Source organism: Homo sapiens, chromosome 20 (assembly GCF_000001405.40).
Source record: "Homo sapiens chromosome 20, GRCh38.p14 Primary Assembly".
NCBI classification, from domain to species: Eukaryota; Metazoa; Chordata; class Mammalia; order Primates; family Hominidae; genus Homo; species Homo sapiens.
In genome coordinates, this window is record NC_000020.11 from 36,257,272 (window position 1) to 36,272,494 (window position 15,223).

Sequence of the window (15,223 nt, forward strand, 5' to 3'; positions counted from 1 at the left end):
AACACGGATGAACCTTGAGAATGTGCTAAGTCAAAGACACAAGGACCACCTATTATGTGATTCCATTCACGTGGCATGTCCACTAGAAACAAATCCACAAAGAGGGAGAGTCAATTAGCGGTTACCAGAGAATAAGACAGTATGGAATGGCAGTGACTGCTGATGAGTCTGGGATTTCTTTTTGGGGTGATGAAAATATTCTGGAATTAGATGGTGGTGATAGTTGTACAACCTTAAGAATTTACTAAAAACCACTGAAAGTAAGCACTTGAAAATGATTAATTTTGGCCGGGCGCGGTGGCTCATGCCTGTAATCCCAGCACTTTGGGAGGCCGAGGTGGGTGGATCATGAAGTCCGGAGATCAAGACCATCCTGGCTAACATGGTGAAACCCCGTCTCTACTAAAAATACAAAAAAAATTAGCCGGGCATGGTGGCGGGCCCCTGTAGTCCCAGCTACAGGCTGTGGCAGGAGAATGGCGTGAACCTGGGAGGCGGAGCTTGCAGTGAGCCGAGATCGCACCACTGCACTCCAGCCCGGGCGACTGAGCAAGATTCTGTCTCAAAAAAAAGAAAAAAAAAGATTTTTATGGTATGTAAATTACATCTCAATAATTTCTGAAAATGCAGATTCCCAAGTCCCATCCTGCAGAAATTCTGAAGCAGCAAATCCAGATGGGACCTGAGTTCTGAGGCACACTCAGTTTTAAGTAACATTACCTGTAAGTGACAGCATTGCGATTAGTACCTGGAGCTTCCCTGGGACAGAATTTGTCTCCCATCAGGGCAGTACCTGAAAGTTGGATCATGTAACCTTGTTCTCCAAGCATGTCAGTCAGTATTCCTGTGTTTACACAGATACACGCCCCCTACACACACACACACACACACACACACACACACACACAGTTAACAGGTTAAACAAAACTAGCTACTGTTTACCAAGGGCTCTGTTCTGTTACTTCACTGAAATCCTCAGCAATATGTGGTAAGTACTCCAACTATCCCCATTTTGCTGATGGGAAAATGGGCTCAGCTGAAATCACTCTGCCAGGGTCACAGCCAGTGAATACTGAGAACAAGAGTCAGGCCCATGCCTCTGGTGTCCACAGCCCACTCTGCCGCTTCATTCACAGCTCCGATTTCCTTCCTTGCTGGCCCCACGTGTCCAGGGCAGCCTTCCCCTCTGCCCTGCTCCCAGCCTTGGCCCTGCTGCCAGCCAGCCGTGTGATCTTGAGCAAGCTGCTTGTTTTCTCTGAGCCTCAGCTCCTCGCATGAAATAAGAGTTGGCTTGGGGCCGAGCGCGGTGGCTCACGCCTGTAATCCCAGCACTTTGGGAGGTTGAGGCAGGCGGATCACAAGGTCAAGAGATTGAGACAATCCTGACCAACATGGTGAAACCCCGTCTCTACTAAAAATACAAAAATTAGCTGGGTGTGGTGGCGCATGCCTGTAGTCCCAGCTAATCAGGAGGCTGAGGCATGAACCCGGGAGGTGGAGGTTGCAGTGAGCCGAGATTGCGCCACTGCACTCCAGCCTGGCCACAGAGTGAGACTCCATCTCAAAAAAAAAAAAAAAAAAAAAAAAAAAAAAAAACAAAAAGGCTTGGATTTAGGTTTCTGATATAGAATCTGCGGGCTCCCACAGGTATTTAAAAGTTGACCCTTGTGTTATTTTAAATGTTTTGAAAACGGAAACTACATTTATACAGGATAATATGGCTGGGCTGCCAAAAAAAAAATAGGTCTCTTTTGTTTGGGGCTGCAGTGACATCCACTTTAGGTCTTCTCCTGCTCGTCCCAACGGGCAGTCCTCTGTATGTCTTTGATGAATAAGAAATGTGAAAACAGATTAATTATTACTTAATACTTACAGTATTTTTGGAAGGCAGACGCTTTCGGAACAGAACCAGTGGTGTTGCTGATCTCACGCTCCCTTCCAGCTCTAACACATCTACGTGTGAAGCTATTGGCAGGACCTGGCCTGATTTAAAAACCCTCTCAAATGCAGGCCTCATGGGGTCTATCTCTTATTTGCAAGGCTGGCTCATCCTATTAGCAGAATCAGCAGAGGTAGCGACTTTCTAACCCCTTCCGCTGTCCCCATGACAAACCCTCCCTGCTGTGAGCCTCCCTCGTTCCCATCGAATTTCTCACCACTTGAGCAGTGGAAGAGTTCCCCACTGTTGACTGCCTCTTACCATTATCTCCCCACCATCATCCCCTTGTAAATATTCCTTAATATTCCCAGGGCACTGGGACATGCTGGTCTCTCCAACTAATCAGACTTTGGCTTGACTGAGATGCTGTCCCCTGCTGACATGGGGGCTGAAAATGCAGAGTGAATGCCACGGTCAAGGCCAGCACTGAGTCACGTCCGCCAGATTGAAATCAGGACCATACTCCTTTCAGGGGAAGGCTCACCTGAGCTACCCAGTAATCCGGGAGCCCGTGTGGTCCTGCAGCTCTGCAGACGCTGCTTCTCTTTTCAGTCCCCCGCTGACTGTAGATGGCACTTCCCCACCTCAGATTCACTGGATCTGGCCTGGACAGGCTTTGTTTCTGTTAGAGCTTTCTAGACCCTTCCATCTTCAGAGCATCCAAGGTCTCCGGTACTGGCTAGTTATCCCCCAACCCTGGGCTCCTGGACGGGCCTCCCTGCTGAGAGATGGGCTGAGTGGTGGGATGAGAGTGGGAAATAATGTCAGCTGCTCACTACTGGGGGGCAGGGTGCGCAGGCATTCATCTGGCACTCAGCTCCCCCTGTCCCCTGCCCCACCACCACCCCACCCACCCCCAGCCTGCCAGGCCTACTCTCATGTGTCCTGGATCTGTGTCGACTCCCTCGATTTCTCTGGAAAATAGGAATCCTGAGCCTTGTCAGGCTGACAGCTGCTTGGTGGGAGGAGGCAAAAAATAGGGGCGTCTCAGTTGCATTGTCCAGTGTCAGGTGGCCCTGCCCTAAAGAAACTCAACATTTCCCTCTTCCCTGGGTCTTTGTCTTGCTGCTTCTCTCTCCTGATTTCTCCCTCTTCCCTCTGTCCACTTCCAAAAAGTGCACCTGGCTCAGGTCTGGCCTCTCACTTCTAAGGGATGACAGATGGAGTTACATCTTCAGGAGAGCCCGCCTGCAGTGAGGAGCGTTGGAGAAAAATGTAGGACCTTCACCCAAGAACAGAGGTGGGAGGGCTGGCCTAAGGAGGAGGTCTCCACATACTCGAGAGTGTAGAGTGGGGACCCGGGGAGAAGCCACAGGGTGGCTGAGGTCAGCTCCATGCCTGTGGCACTCAGGGACCACAGTAAGCTAACATCCTCGTGGGGGAGCCACACAGTAAGCATGCTAAGTAGACTGCAGAGTGGGCCCATCCTGAGAAATGCTCCTGGGAAACAAAATAGAGCAGGGTAAGGGGAACGGAGAGTCCTGGCAGGGTGAGGGGAGACGCTGCATTTTTTTTTTTTTTTTTTTTTGAGACAGAATCTTGCTCTGTCGCCCAGGCTAGAGTGCAGTGGCGTGATCTTGGCTCACTACAAGCTCCGCCTCCCGGGTTCAAGCCATTCTTCTGCCTCAGCCTCCCGAGTAGCTGGGACTACAGGCACCTGCCACCACGCCGGCTAATTTTTTGTATTTTTAGTAGAGATGGGGTTTCACCATGTTAGGCAGGATGGTCTCGATCTCCTGATCTCGTGATCCGCCCACCTCAGCCTCCCAAAGTGCTGGGATTACAGGCGTGAGCCACCGCGCCCAGCCGAGATGCTGCAATTTAAAGGGGGTGGCATTTGGACAAAGATTTAAAGGTGAGCAAGTGAGCCATGTAGGGGTCTAGAGAGTGTTCCTGCAGAACAAACGGCGAAGGCAAAGGCCCTGGGGCAGGAGCCTGTCTTTTGTATTGGAGGAGCATCAGGGGGTCAGGGTCAGTAGGCAGGAGTGGGGTGACCAAAGACGAGAATACTAGGAGAGGAAACCAGGGACCAGGTTGTCCAGGGCCTATAGGCTGTTGTAAGACCTGTCCATTTTATCAGCGAAATGGGCACACGGTTGAGGGTTTCAAGCAGAAGCGTGTCATGACCTGACTTCCATGTTTTTGCTTTTTTTTTTTCGAGATGGGGTCTCACTATGTGGCCCAGGCTGGGGTGCAGTGGCTATTCACAGGCGCTGTCACTGCGGCCTACAGCCTTAAACTCCCAGAGTCAAGTGACCCACCTCAGCCTCCTCAGTAGCTGGGACTACAGGCATGAGCTACACCCAGCAGCTGACTTCTGTTTGTAACAGGATCCCAAGCTGCTGTGTCGGACACAGACTGCAGGGGGTAAGTAAGGGTGGAAGCAGAAGGACCGCTAAGGAGCTAGTGTGACAATCCAGGTGAGAGGCAGCAGTGACTCAGGCCACAGTCGTGTCGGGTGCAGGCTGTGCTGTACCATGATTCAGAAGATGGATCCAAAGGGATGTCTTTGATGGTCCCTTCTAGCCTGATAGGCCCCACTTCCCCAGGGTCGCAGATCTGGGCAGAATGCCAACTTGTTGGGCCCGCACCCGCACAGGAGTTACCTCTTGACTGTCCCATCATGGGGTGTGTTGAACCTTCCTATTCTCAGATGTCCATGGTACATTTGGGGAGGTGGGGCAATGAGGAAGGATTGGGAGGGCTGTCACGGGTTTTCTGGGTGATGGGGTGGCAGTGGAGGACTTGAAGTGGCTCTGTTGAGAAGCAGTGGGTGAGTCAGGGCCCCCTGATAGACTGTGGTTGCACCATCAGCACCTGTGCGGATGTTCTTACTGCTGATGGGCAGTGAGGATGGTCCCACTTACTGTTCAGGTGTCCATACGACTAAAAGGGAATTGAGGGCCACCGCCGTGGCTCGCACCTGTAATCTCAGCAGTTTGGGAGGTTAAGGCGGGCAGCTCGCTTGAGCTCAGGAGTTCGAGACCAGCCTGGGCAACGTGGCGAAACACCATCTCTACAAAAAATTTTAAAGTTAGCCAGGCATGGTGGCACACACCTGTAGTCCCAGCTACTCAGGAGGCTAAGGCAGGAGGATTGTTTTGAGCCCAGTAGGTTGAGGCTGTGTGAGCTATGATCACGCCACTGTTCTCCAGCCTGGGTGAAAAAGCAAGACCCTGTCTCAAAAGAAAACCCCAAAAAACAGGAGTTGAGGGCATGTGAATTCTCTGTCGGTACTAATGGTTCTTGGTTGGAATCATTCATACACCCACTTCTGCCACGGAACTTCCTGGACGTAGAGGTGATTACTAAGAGCCGGTGTGTGTTGGGGGCTTCCCTCCTGGCTGCCGGGCACTATGTTAGGCCCTTTACTTGCCTTCCTCAGTCTGGAGCACCAGCTCTCCAGGGAAGGCCTCATCCTTCCTCGTTGTCCAGACAAGGAAGAAGGAAGCCAAGGCCCCGCAAGGTGAAGGGACTTCCCGGAAAGCAGAGGCTGCTGAGCCCGCCTGGAGTTGGAGCCCAAGCCTGTGAATCTCACCCCGCCCTTGCCACCATGCAGCGCTCCTCAACAAAGATGGTTACTTAATCCAAGGTCATCACCAGTGGATCCGAGGCTGCAGCCTGGCAACTGGCAGTATCAGTCACTTACAAGGGTGGCAGGCAGGACCCACTGGCCTCTGGGGTCATGACACTTTGCTGATATTTCCACCCAGACCCTTTGTGTCTGCGTCTGGGCCTCTGGAGACACCGGACTGACCTGGCCCAGAGCAAGGTGGTACCTGCGGGTGGGGTTGCTTCTGATCTGGAAGGAGCCTGCCTCTGCCCTCCTTGAGGACAACGAGGGCCAGTGAGGGGCCACTCAGGGTGGAATGCCCGAGCAAAGGCCTCCCTCCTCTCACCCATCCCTGTCCTACCAGAACTGCTGTTGATTTTTGCAAAAGGCATTTTCTTTAGAAAGAGATGCTACACACAGGTATGGTGGCTTACACGTGTAATCCCAGCACTTTGGGAGGCCAAGGTGGAAGGATCACTTGAGCCCAGGAGTTTGAGACTAGCCTGTGCAACGTGGTGAGACCCCTTCTCTAGAAAAAAAATTTTTTTTTAATTAAGAAAAAAAAGATGCTGCAAAAGCGAAGCCCCTGAGGGGCTGACTCAATGACCAACCATCCTCTGGATAGGCCTCGCCTCAGCTGCCCGCCCTGTGAATCAATAAGCGAGACACTGTCACTCCAAATACAGCAGCCTGAAAGCAGGAGTGGGATAGGGCTAGTTAGAGGAGCTCTCTGTGGTCCGCTTGAATGAAGAAGACGACACCATTATTCATTTCCCTTTTGGAAATTGTCTATTCATGTCCTTTGTCCCTTTTTCTCTTAGTGTCCTCATATGTTTTTGAAACTGTATTTATCATATCACAAATACATTAATATGATAAATATTTCCCCCAGTTTGCCATTTGCTTTTTAATGTTTTGATTTTGAAATGTATGCTTTATTTTTTATATTACGTATGTCGAGCTTTTTCCTTTTGATTTTTTCCCCATTGCTTTAATGCTTAAAAGTCCATTCTCATCTTAAGACGAAATGTAATTAATCTATATTTTGTTCCAGTTTTTCTTAGTGTTTTTTTTTTTTATTTTTTATTTTGCCATAGTCAAAATCATGTTTCCTCAGCCCCACCTGCTCCAGGACCACTGCCACCTTTCATGCCTCACATCTGTCCTCGATTTTTCCTCTCCTATTAAGTCCTAGCATGCTGCCTCACACCTCCATCCTCATCCCCTCCTTGGACATCAAGGGCTTCTCACAAACCTTCCTGACCCCTCCCGGCATTTGCAGTCAGAAGAACCACATACGTGGCTGGCTCTGGGTGTCAGAGTCTGGTGGAGCGGAGTGTTTTTCTTATTGCTTCTCAGGGACTAGAATCGTCTGCTCAAGATTCTGCATGTCCATACTTGGAAGGTCATTGATTGGAAGATTCCCCCCTCCTCTCTGTCCTTGCACTAAAGGCCCCTACAATAAGGGTTGCTGTTATTTTAGATTTCATAGTCCATTTCTGTTCACCTCTTTTCTGATGTCAGGCCTCCTTTGCTTTCAGGACAACTTTTTCTGCTCCCTGTCATCTTTGGTGGGACTGCCAATCACAGTACCTCACCCCATCCTTCCACTCACCGGGACAGACACACAACTCTAGCTAGGCCACCTGGCATCTTCCCTGGGATGCTTCTTCAAGAAGGCGCAAAAGGACCCCACTTGCTTTTAGAGCTGTGGCTCTAGAGGACTCTCAGTTAGATCTACTAGGGGTCATCATCCCCGTCACAGAAAGCCCTCGTACCTGAAATGAGGATGAGCCCAACACAGAAGGAAGCTGAGCTGAGAGACAAGAGCAAGAGAAGCCAAGAAAAATATCTGAAGCACCTGGATCCAGCCTTGCCTGCATCCCGCAATCCCCAGGCTTCCTCCTACATAAGCCAATACAGTACCTTTTAATTTGAGCCCCATTATGAAAGGTTTTTGCTAAAGAATCCTGATTCACCCCTGCATTGCAATGCTTTGGACTTCATTGTCTGCCCCCCTGTAAAACTCCTAAGATGTCAAAGCTGAAAGGGGCTTTAGAGACCACAGTCTCATCCTGCAGTTGGTGAAACGAAGGGAAAGAACTTGTCCAAGGTCACGTGGTGCATCGTTTCCTGCTCAAAAAAGAAAAAGCTTGAACTCACTGCCCAGCAGCCCGGACGGCGCTGTGGCCTCTGCGATGGCATTGCAGTGCTTAGTGGCTATTGATCTGTTGTTTTGGATGTGTTACCCAGACAGGATTGCCACCACCACACAAGCGCATGTGCAGCCCAGGGAGAGCTCTAGGGCTGGGCCAGAGCGGGGGTGGGTAGGGCATCGTTGCTGCTGCTTCAGCCCCTGTCGGGAGAGAATGAGAAAATGGTGGTGAACAAGACCTTGCTGGCATTTGCTGACACTCACCATGGGCCACGCGCCATGTTAAATGGGCGCAGTAGCTTTACATTTGTTCTCAGCCTTGCGGCGTCCCTATGAAGTAGGTGCTACGGGAATCCCTGTTCTATCAGCAGGAAAACAGGAACTTCCCAATGGTCACACTGCGATTGAGCCACGCACTTGGACTAACCAGGGTCAGCCTGACTCCAGAGCCTGATTCTTGTACCAAGGAGGGGGCAAAATCAGGCAGGACACATGGATGAGTGGAGGCCCATGCGAGGACTGTGGGAGAGTGTGCCTTGGCTCCCCAGCTCCGGCCCAGGGCAACCAATTCAAGGCAGACTTGTCAGAGCTTCCAGTTTTTCAAGAGAAGCCGGAAATCTGGACTTTTATGTGAAATGTCTCATTTTTAAATGTTGGCAAAGAAATTCAGATTAAAACACACACACACACACACACACACACACACACACACACACACACACAGTGCAAGGGAACCCAAACCACATTTGCAAGCCAGCGGATTGCAACTTTTCGACTTTACTATACTCTTTCTGTGGCTGGAGGAAGCTGTTCTAACCCACAGGACTCTGTCCATCACCTGGCAGGAGAGGGGACCTACCTCGATGTGGTTAGGATGCCACCCTGCCTTGCTCACACTCACTCATTTCTAAGTGTGTGTCAGAGGCCAGCGAATTCCAGAAGCAGGGATTGGGCAGGGCGGGCGGTGGGGCATGCGTGCTTGCCAGGGAGGGCCAGGAGCACAGAAGAAGCCTCCTTATCCAATGTTACAGGTGAGGAAATTGAGACCAAGTGAGGCCGTATAAACAGCTGGGTCCCCGGTGACTCATGGAAAGAGCTGCTGGAACCGGGTGCAAGGTCTTCCTGAGCCATAAGTATGGTCCTCTGAGGACACATTACCCTGCTGTTGGCCTTTTTGGCTGGTAGAGGAGACACTTGGATTCTGGGATGTGGCAGATCCCAGCCTTGCCCATGATAAGGATAATAAGGAAGTCACTGATAGTCTATGAGCCCCAGTTTCTTCATCTGTAAAATGGGCATCTCCTCTGTAAAACAGAGGCATTGGCTCTGCCCCATGCCAATGTAAAACTATGGCACCCAGTCCCAGAGGGGTAGGGGTGACATTCCTCTCCTCCAGGAGCAGGGGACTGAGCCAAAGATACCTGCAGCCCACTCTGCGGTGCCTCTGGGGCTGGGACTGTTCTGGGCACGTGCTGAGTTATGATGACACATCCAGAGCTGAGTCTGTCTCTCCCACCTGCCCAATCCTCTGGGGCAGGAGTGGGGGTCGGGAAGGTGAGGGGCGGCTTCACTTCCAGGTCACCATCCCTCAGCCCTGGGCCTGACACAGAGAAGAATGAGCGGGAGGATGGATGAACAGCATCATAACAGCAGTTCTCGTCCACACCCCCCAACCCGTGTGCCAAGCTCTTAGCTCACGCCATCCTTCAGCCCAGCAGAATCTTGTGCTGGGGGTGGAGCCGCAGCCCTGCCCTCATCCATTCATCACGCGTATGCACCCCTTCTTTTCAGGCAGTGGCTCCCAACTCTCCCCAGGGCTCAGAGTTGCCCCCGAGACCCTGACCCAGGCCCAGCCAGGGCAGCTATCCCCAAACTTCCATGGGACACTTGGTGTCAGCTGCCTCCCCCCATCCTTGGCCTGGTGGGACCTAGGGGCTCTCAGCTACCCAGCCAGGAGATCGGCCCCCAGCAGAATGGCCCTACCTCAGCCTGTCTGTGTCTTTGAGGGTTCTCAGCGCTTCACCTGGCCTCAGAAACTACCTCTCAGCCTGAGGGTCCCTACAAGGCTTTGGACTGATGCCCCCTGCCTCAGCATAAATGGTCAAGGTTGAGCCTTATGGCCCCCAGAAGGCAGGGCTGAGATCCATAGGGTGAAGCCATGGGAGGCAGATGGAAAACCTTAGTGTGAGGCACAACTTACCATCAAAGCTGCCTACAATGGAATGGGCTTTTTTTAAGAGGTGAGTTTTCTGTTCCCAGAGATTTGGAAGTAAAACCTGCAGCCAATGGGGCTAACACACATCCATTAGGACAGCGGCCTCATTAAATGACTGTGAGGTTCCCTTCCAGTTCTTAGACCACGAATCTCCTTTCTAGGGTTTTTCTTCCCAGTCCACCCCCTAAGACAGACACAGGCCTTCGCAGGCCTGATTCAGGGTGGAGGAAGGGGAGTCCCAGGCTGAAGGCGAGTTGTTTGCAACCCACAGCTGGGCTCAGGAGCAGGGATGCTGCAACCCAGCTGCCTTTCTGCAGGGCCTTCACCTGTCCTCCAAGGACCAAGGCCAAGGCTGATATGAGCCCCCCATCTGGCCCAAGAGGTTCCCACAATGGTCCTGGGTGGTGGGTCCTGCCACTGGGTAGGTGTGGGAGCTGGGGGTTGCAGGTTCAACTTGGCAAAATGTCAGGACACCCACGGGGGCAGGCAGCTTTTCAGGGGCCCAAGGCCATGGAGCTCCAAAGGAGGGCAGCAGGGAGCACGCAGATAACTGTCCCCACCCAGCTCCCCTCCCACAGGCTCCACGGATCGCACTCTGTCTCTCTCGCATGCTCCAGGAGAGACACGGCAGCACACACACAGGCAGACACAACCAGCACCCACATCTGAGCGCTCACACACAGATGCGTGTGCGTCGTGCAGAGACGCCCACACGGAGACACAGATACACACCCTCCCGGAGCCACACAGATGACACCCACGTGCACGCGGGCACAAACACAGGCCCTACCTACTTGCAAACCAACTCCACCTCCAGCATGGCCACCCTGGCTGGGGAAGGAAGGCCGGCCGGGTGGGTGCCCTGGATCAGCCTCCTTGCCGTGGGAGTCCTGATCATCTGGAAGCTATGGCCTGCCCCGCCCATTGGAGGTCTGCAGGGCCAGGGGCTGCCCAGAGGCAACAGAGTAGTTCCACAGGGCCCTGGGGTCAGCTGATCTGGCTCTGGTCTCAGCTTTCCCACCTTCTGGCTCTGTGACCTGGGCAAGTCACTGGACCTCGCTGAGCTTCAGCGTCCTCATCTGGAAAACAGGCATAACATAGTGCCAACCCCCTGAGTCCTATGATCTCTGTAGCCCCCAGGCCTGGAATATCCTAGACGTTCAGTAAACAGAGACTGTTTCTGTCACCCCAGGGCGGGGGCTCCATTGGCAAATGGCCACTCACCCATTGCAGCCTGGCATTTGGTGAGTGCACCATATTCGTGAGCTATTATTTTCATGTCTACTTCAAGGGGCTACCTGGGGTCTGAACTTTACTTGTGGGGACCCAGGATGTAAGCCTCCATGTCCAGACTGGCAAAGAGAACCCCATTCCCCTGGCAAAGGTAGGGCTCAGCTAGGTAGTCTTAAACAATAAGCAGCCACTCAGCTAGAACTTAGACTGGAATATTCGCAATTTAATACCATGGCATTCCAGACCACAGCTGCAAAAAACAGAGGCTCTTGCCAGTGTGTTTTAGACTCTCAAAGATCTTGAAGCACAAATCTCGAATGTCAGAGCTGTACAGAGGCCTTGGAGACATCTAGTCCAGCTGTCTTGCTCCTAAAACGGAATCCCAGAAGCATGGAGCCTCAAAGAACTTTGAGTCCATTCCAGACCAGTTGGACAGAAATTGGGAACTGAGGCCCAGAGAGGGTGAGCCACTGAGCATGGTTGCACAGTGAGTTAGTGGAAGTGTTGAGACCAGACCCCTGGTCCCGGCTTCATAGCAAGTTTAGATTCAGCCCCTCTATGGAGGCCTGGAGGAAGGAAGGCAGAAGAAGAAACATTTGGGCCAAAGTGAGGATTTTCTGGAGAACTGTTTTCGAAAAATCAAACCAAAAAGAAAAATGGGAAAAAGGTGCTGGCTTCCCCTTATTTTCTGCCTGTCTTCCTCTGGGCACTCTCTCTCTCTGCAGCTCTCAGCCGGTTCCAGCTCTGCTCACAAGCTGCTTCCAGCCGCCCACGGGCTTCCTAAAATGGTCTCTGCAAGCTAATTCCAGAGGATGAATGGCAGAGAGCAGGCCTGCAGGGAGCTGGTGGGGGGGGGGGGCGGGGGGGGGGCTTCCTTAGCCAGTGCAGGTGCAGACAGACGCCACATTGGTGTTGGACCAGCTGCCCCCAACCCCAACCCCCTCCTTAGGTGCTTCCATGGCCCCCAGCTGCCAGGACCAGGGGGCCCAGCTTTCACCTCTCACTGCCTGACCTCTTGGAATAGGTTATTTTTCCTTCTTAAAGAATTAATTTTTAAAATTATGTAATAATACATATGTATCATCAAATAATCAGGAAAGTATAAAGAAGAAAATTAAGATCACCTGTAATCAGCTCCTCTAAATGAAACAACTATTAACAATTAAGCATATATCCTTTCAGTCTTAGGACTCAGCACATATTACAGACAGAGGGGCTGATTCAGTACATAATGTTCTAAGTCCTGTTCTTTTCTTCCAATCATATATTCACAAGCATCTTTCTAGTCAACATTTGCACTTCCACAGCATGATTTTTAGTGGCTGCATGGCACCTTGCATATGACTACACCACGCTTTGCTCAACCAATCCCCAATGCCCAGCGTTTTAGCTTGTGTCCATTTCTCCCCTGTGAGAAACAGTACATGGTTTATTCTTGTAGTTACCTCTTTGTAATCAACCTAGTTATTTCCTTAGGACACCTTCCTGGAATTGGAATTACTGGCCAAAGGGTTTATACTTTTTTAAAAAGATAAAATGCAAAATTATAATACTATCCTCCCTTCCTATAATGAATGTGTAATAATTAGGTAATAAATAAAAATTAGAAAATATAGATAAAGAAAAATAAGAGAAAAAAATCATAACTTTCCCCAAATCTTACTACCAAGATATGGTTAAGAATTTTGCTGGAAAGCATCTAGACTTTTTTGTATGTGTGTGCACGCATATAATGGGATTATACTATACAGGCTGTTTTGTAAAACTGATCATTTGTTTCTTTCTTTTTTTTTTTTTTTTTTTTTGAGACAGAGTCTCGCTCTGTCGCTCAGGCCAGAGTGCAGTGGCGCAATCTCGGCTCACTGCAACCTCCGCCTCATGGGTTCATGCCATTCTCCTGCCTCAGCCTCCTGAGTAGCTGGGACTACAGGGACCCGCCATCAGGCTCCGCTAATTTTTTGTATTTTTAGTAGAGACGGGGTTTCACCGTGCTAGCCAGGATGGTCTCGATCTCCTGATCTTGTTTTCCACCCACTTCGGCCTCCCAAAGTGCTGGGATTACAGGCGTGAGTCACCGCACCTGGCCAAAACTGATCATTTGTTCATGTCAATACATAAATTTACATTCACAGTGTCACTTTCTTTCTTTTTTTTTTTTTTTTTTAGAGACAGAGTCTCGCTGTGTCACCCAGACTGAAGTGCAGTGACTTAATCATAGCTCGCTGCAGCCTTGAACTCCTGGGCTCATACGATCCACCCACCTCAGCCTCCAGAGTAGCTGGGACTACAGGAAGATATCATCACACCCGGCTAATTAACAACAACAAAAAAAATTGTAGGGATAAAGTCTTTCTATGTTGCCCAGGCTGGTCTTGAACTCCTAGCCTCAAGCAATCCTCCCACTTTGGCCTCTCAAAATGTTGGGATTACAGGCGTGAGTCGCCACACCCGGCCCACGGCATCACTTTTATCTGCCACAGCATATTTCATTCTGTGTTTATACCTTGGTATAACCACTCTCCTGTTTTGGGGAACTAGGTTTCTGGTTTTGCTCCAGTATAAATAGCTCTGTAATGAACATGCTTGGAAAAGCAGCTTTGCTTCTTGTCCATATGCGTTCGTAGGCTCTGTGGTAGTAGAATTGCTGGGTCAAGGGTTTTTGTTGTTGTTTGTTGGTTGGTTTTTGTTTTTTGTTTGTTTTTGCTGTTGATATCACATCGTTTCTGACTGGAAGTCTAAACAGCAAACCAGCACGCAGGCTCCACCGAGTTCCACAGACGTCTACGGGAAGGGCCCAGAATCTGTAGAACCAGGCAGGAGCTTGTGCTGCATTTCCTGCTTTCCAGGCTGATTGCTTAGAGAAAGGCCTTGGCCTTGAATGGGGCCTTTGCCCAGGAAGCCTCCTCTGTGCCCAGGAAGCCGGGATCAAAATTAGCCCCCCCGGAAGCCAGGAGCACACAAGCTGGTTCCTGCTGGCTCTCTCCAGCCTACTTCCTGCATACCCGATACCTCACGTGCCCTCTTCCTGTCTCCAGATCCCACTCACCTGAGACCATGCACAGAGGGAGAATGAATGTGACGTGTTACAAAGTCCTCATTGTTCTGAGGAGGGGAGAGATGCAGCCAGGGCAGGCAGCCTCGAGACTGGGCAGGTGTGAGCCCGGGCGGTGGGTCTCAGAGGTGCATGGAGGGTCAGCCTGGAGAGGACAGAATGCGGGGCCAACCCACAGGACAAGGCCCAGAGCAGGAAGGGCCTGGAGCCTGCAGAAGGCAACAAGGAGAACAAGCCCGCAGAAGGACAGGGAGGGCCTGCCCAGAGCTTCCGAGGGTGCTGACGGCCAGGCCGGCCTGGACACCGTCTTGTCTCTCTCCATCCTTCACTGCGCTGCTCTGCTCTCTGCGATCTCACTCCATTCAGAGTTGGGAAAGGAAAGATCCATCTGAGGAAAAGGTGAGCTGAGAACTAACCAGAAAGAGAGGGAGGGAACGGGCGAGGGAGGGAGAGAGAAAGGAAGAAACAGAGAAGGGAGGAGAGGCCACCACCCAAAAGAGGAAGCCATGCCATCCAGGTCTCCTGATTGACCAGCACAGGTTTAAGTGAAGACCTTCCCTGTGGTCAGCTCAGCAGTGGCTGCAAGCCAGGCTAGGTGGCTCAGGTCTGTAATCCCAGCACTTTGGGAGGCCAAGGCAGGCGGATTGCCTGAGGCCAGGAGTTTGAGACCAGCTTAGGCAACACAGTGAGACCCTGTCTCTACAAAAAAATTTTAAAAAATTAGCTGGGTGTGGTGGTGCGTGCCTGTAGTTCCAGCTACTCGGGAGACTGAAGTGGGAGGATCGCTTGAGCCTGGAGTTAAAGGTTGCAATGAGCCGTGATCGCGCCACTGCACTCCAGCCTGGGTGACAGAGACCAAGTCTCAAAAATTAAAATAACAATAATAGTAAGAGGCTGCAACAGACCTTCAAGCTGGGAGAGCAGGTTTTCAGGCAGCTCAGGACCACAATCCCGGTTCTAAAAAGTGCGTGCAGGCACGTCTGACAACAAGACAGCCATGCAGGTCTGGGCGCCAGCTAAGAGAGGAGGGTCCCACATTAGGTTCAGCCATTTCAGCTTCTTTCCACTCTTGCCTG

General features: G+C 51.2%; 1 annotated feature.

Annotated features, from left to right (window-relative positions):
* Positions 13,647–14,846: an enhancer, noted in NCBI's record as "CDK7 strongly-dependent group 2 enhancer chr20:34858840-34860039 (GRCh37/hg19 assembly coordinates)". NCBI's record gives its function as "activates an origin of replication core promoter dependent on BRD2, BRD4, P300/CBP, MED14 and CDK7 cofactors, with strong dependence on CDK7, by STARR-seq in HCT116 cells {active_cell/tissue: HCT116}" and the evidence as "EXISTENCE:reporter gene assay evidence [ECO:0000049][PMID:35650434]".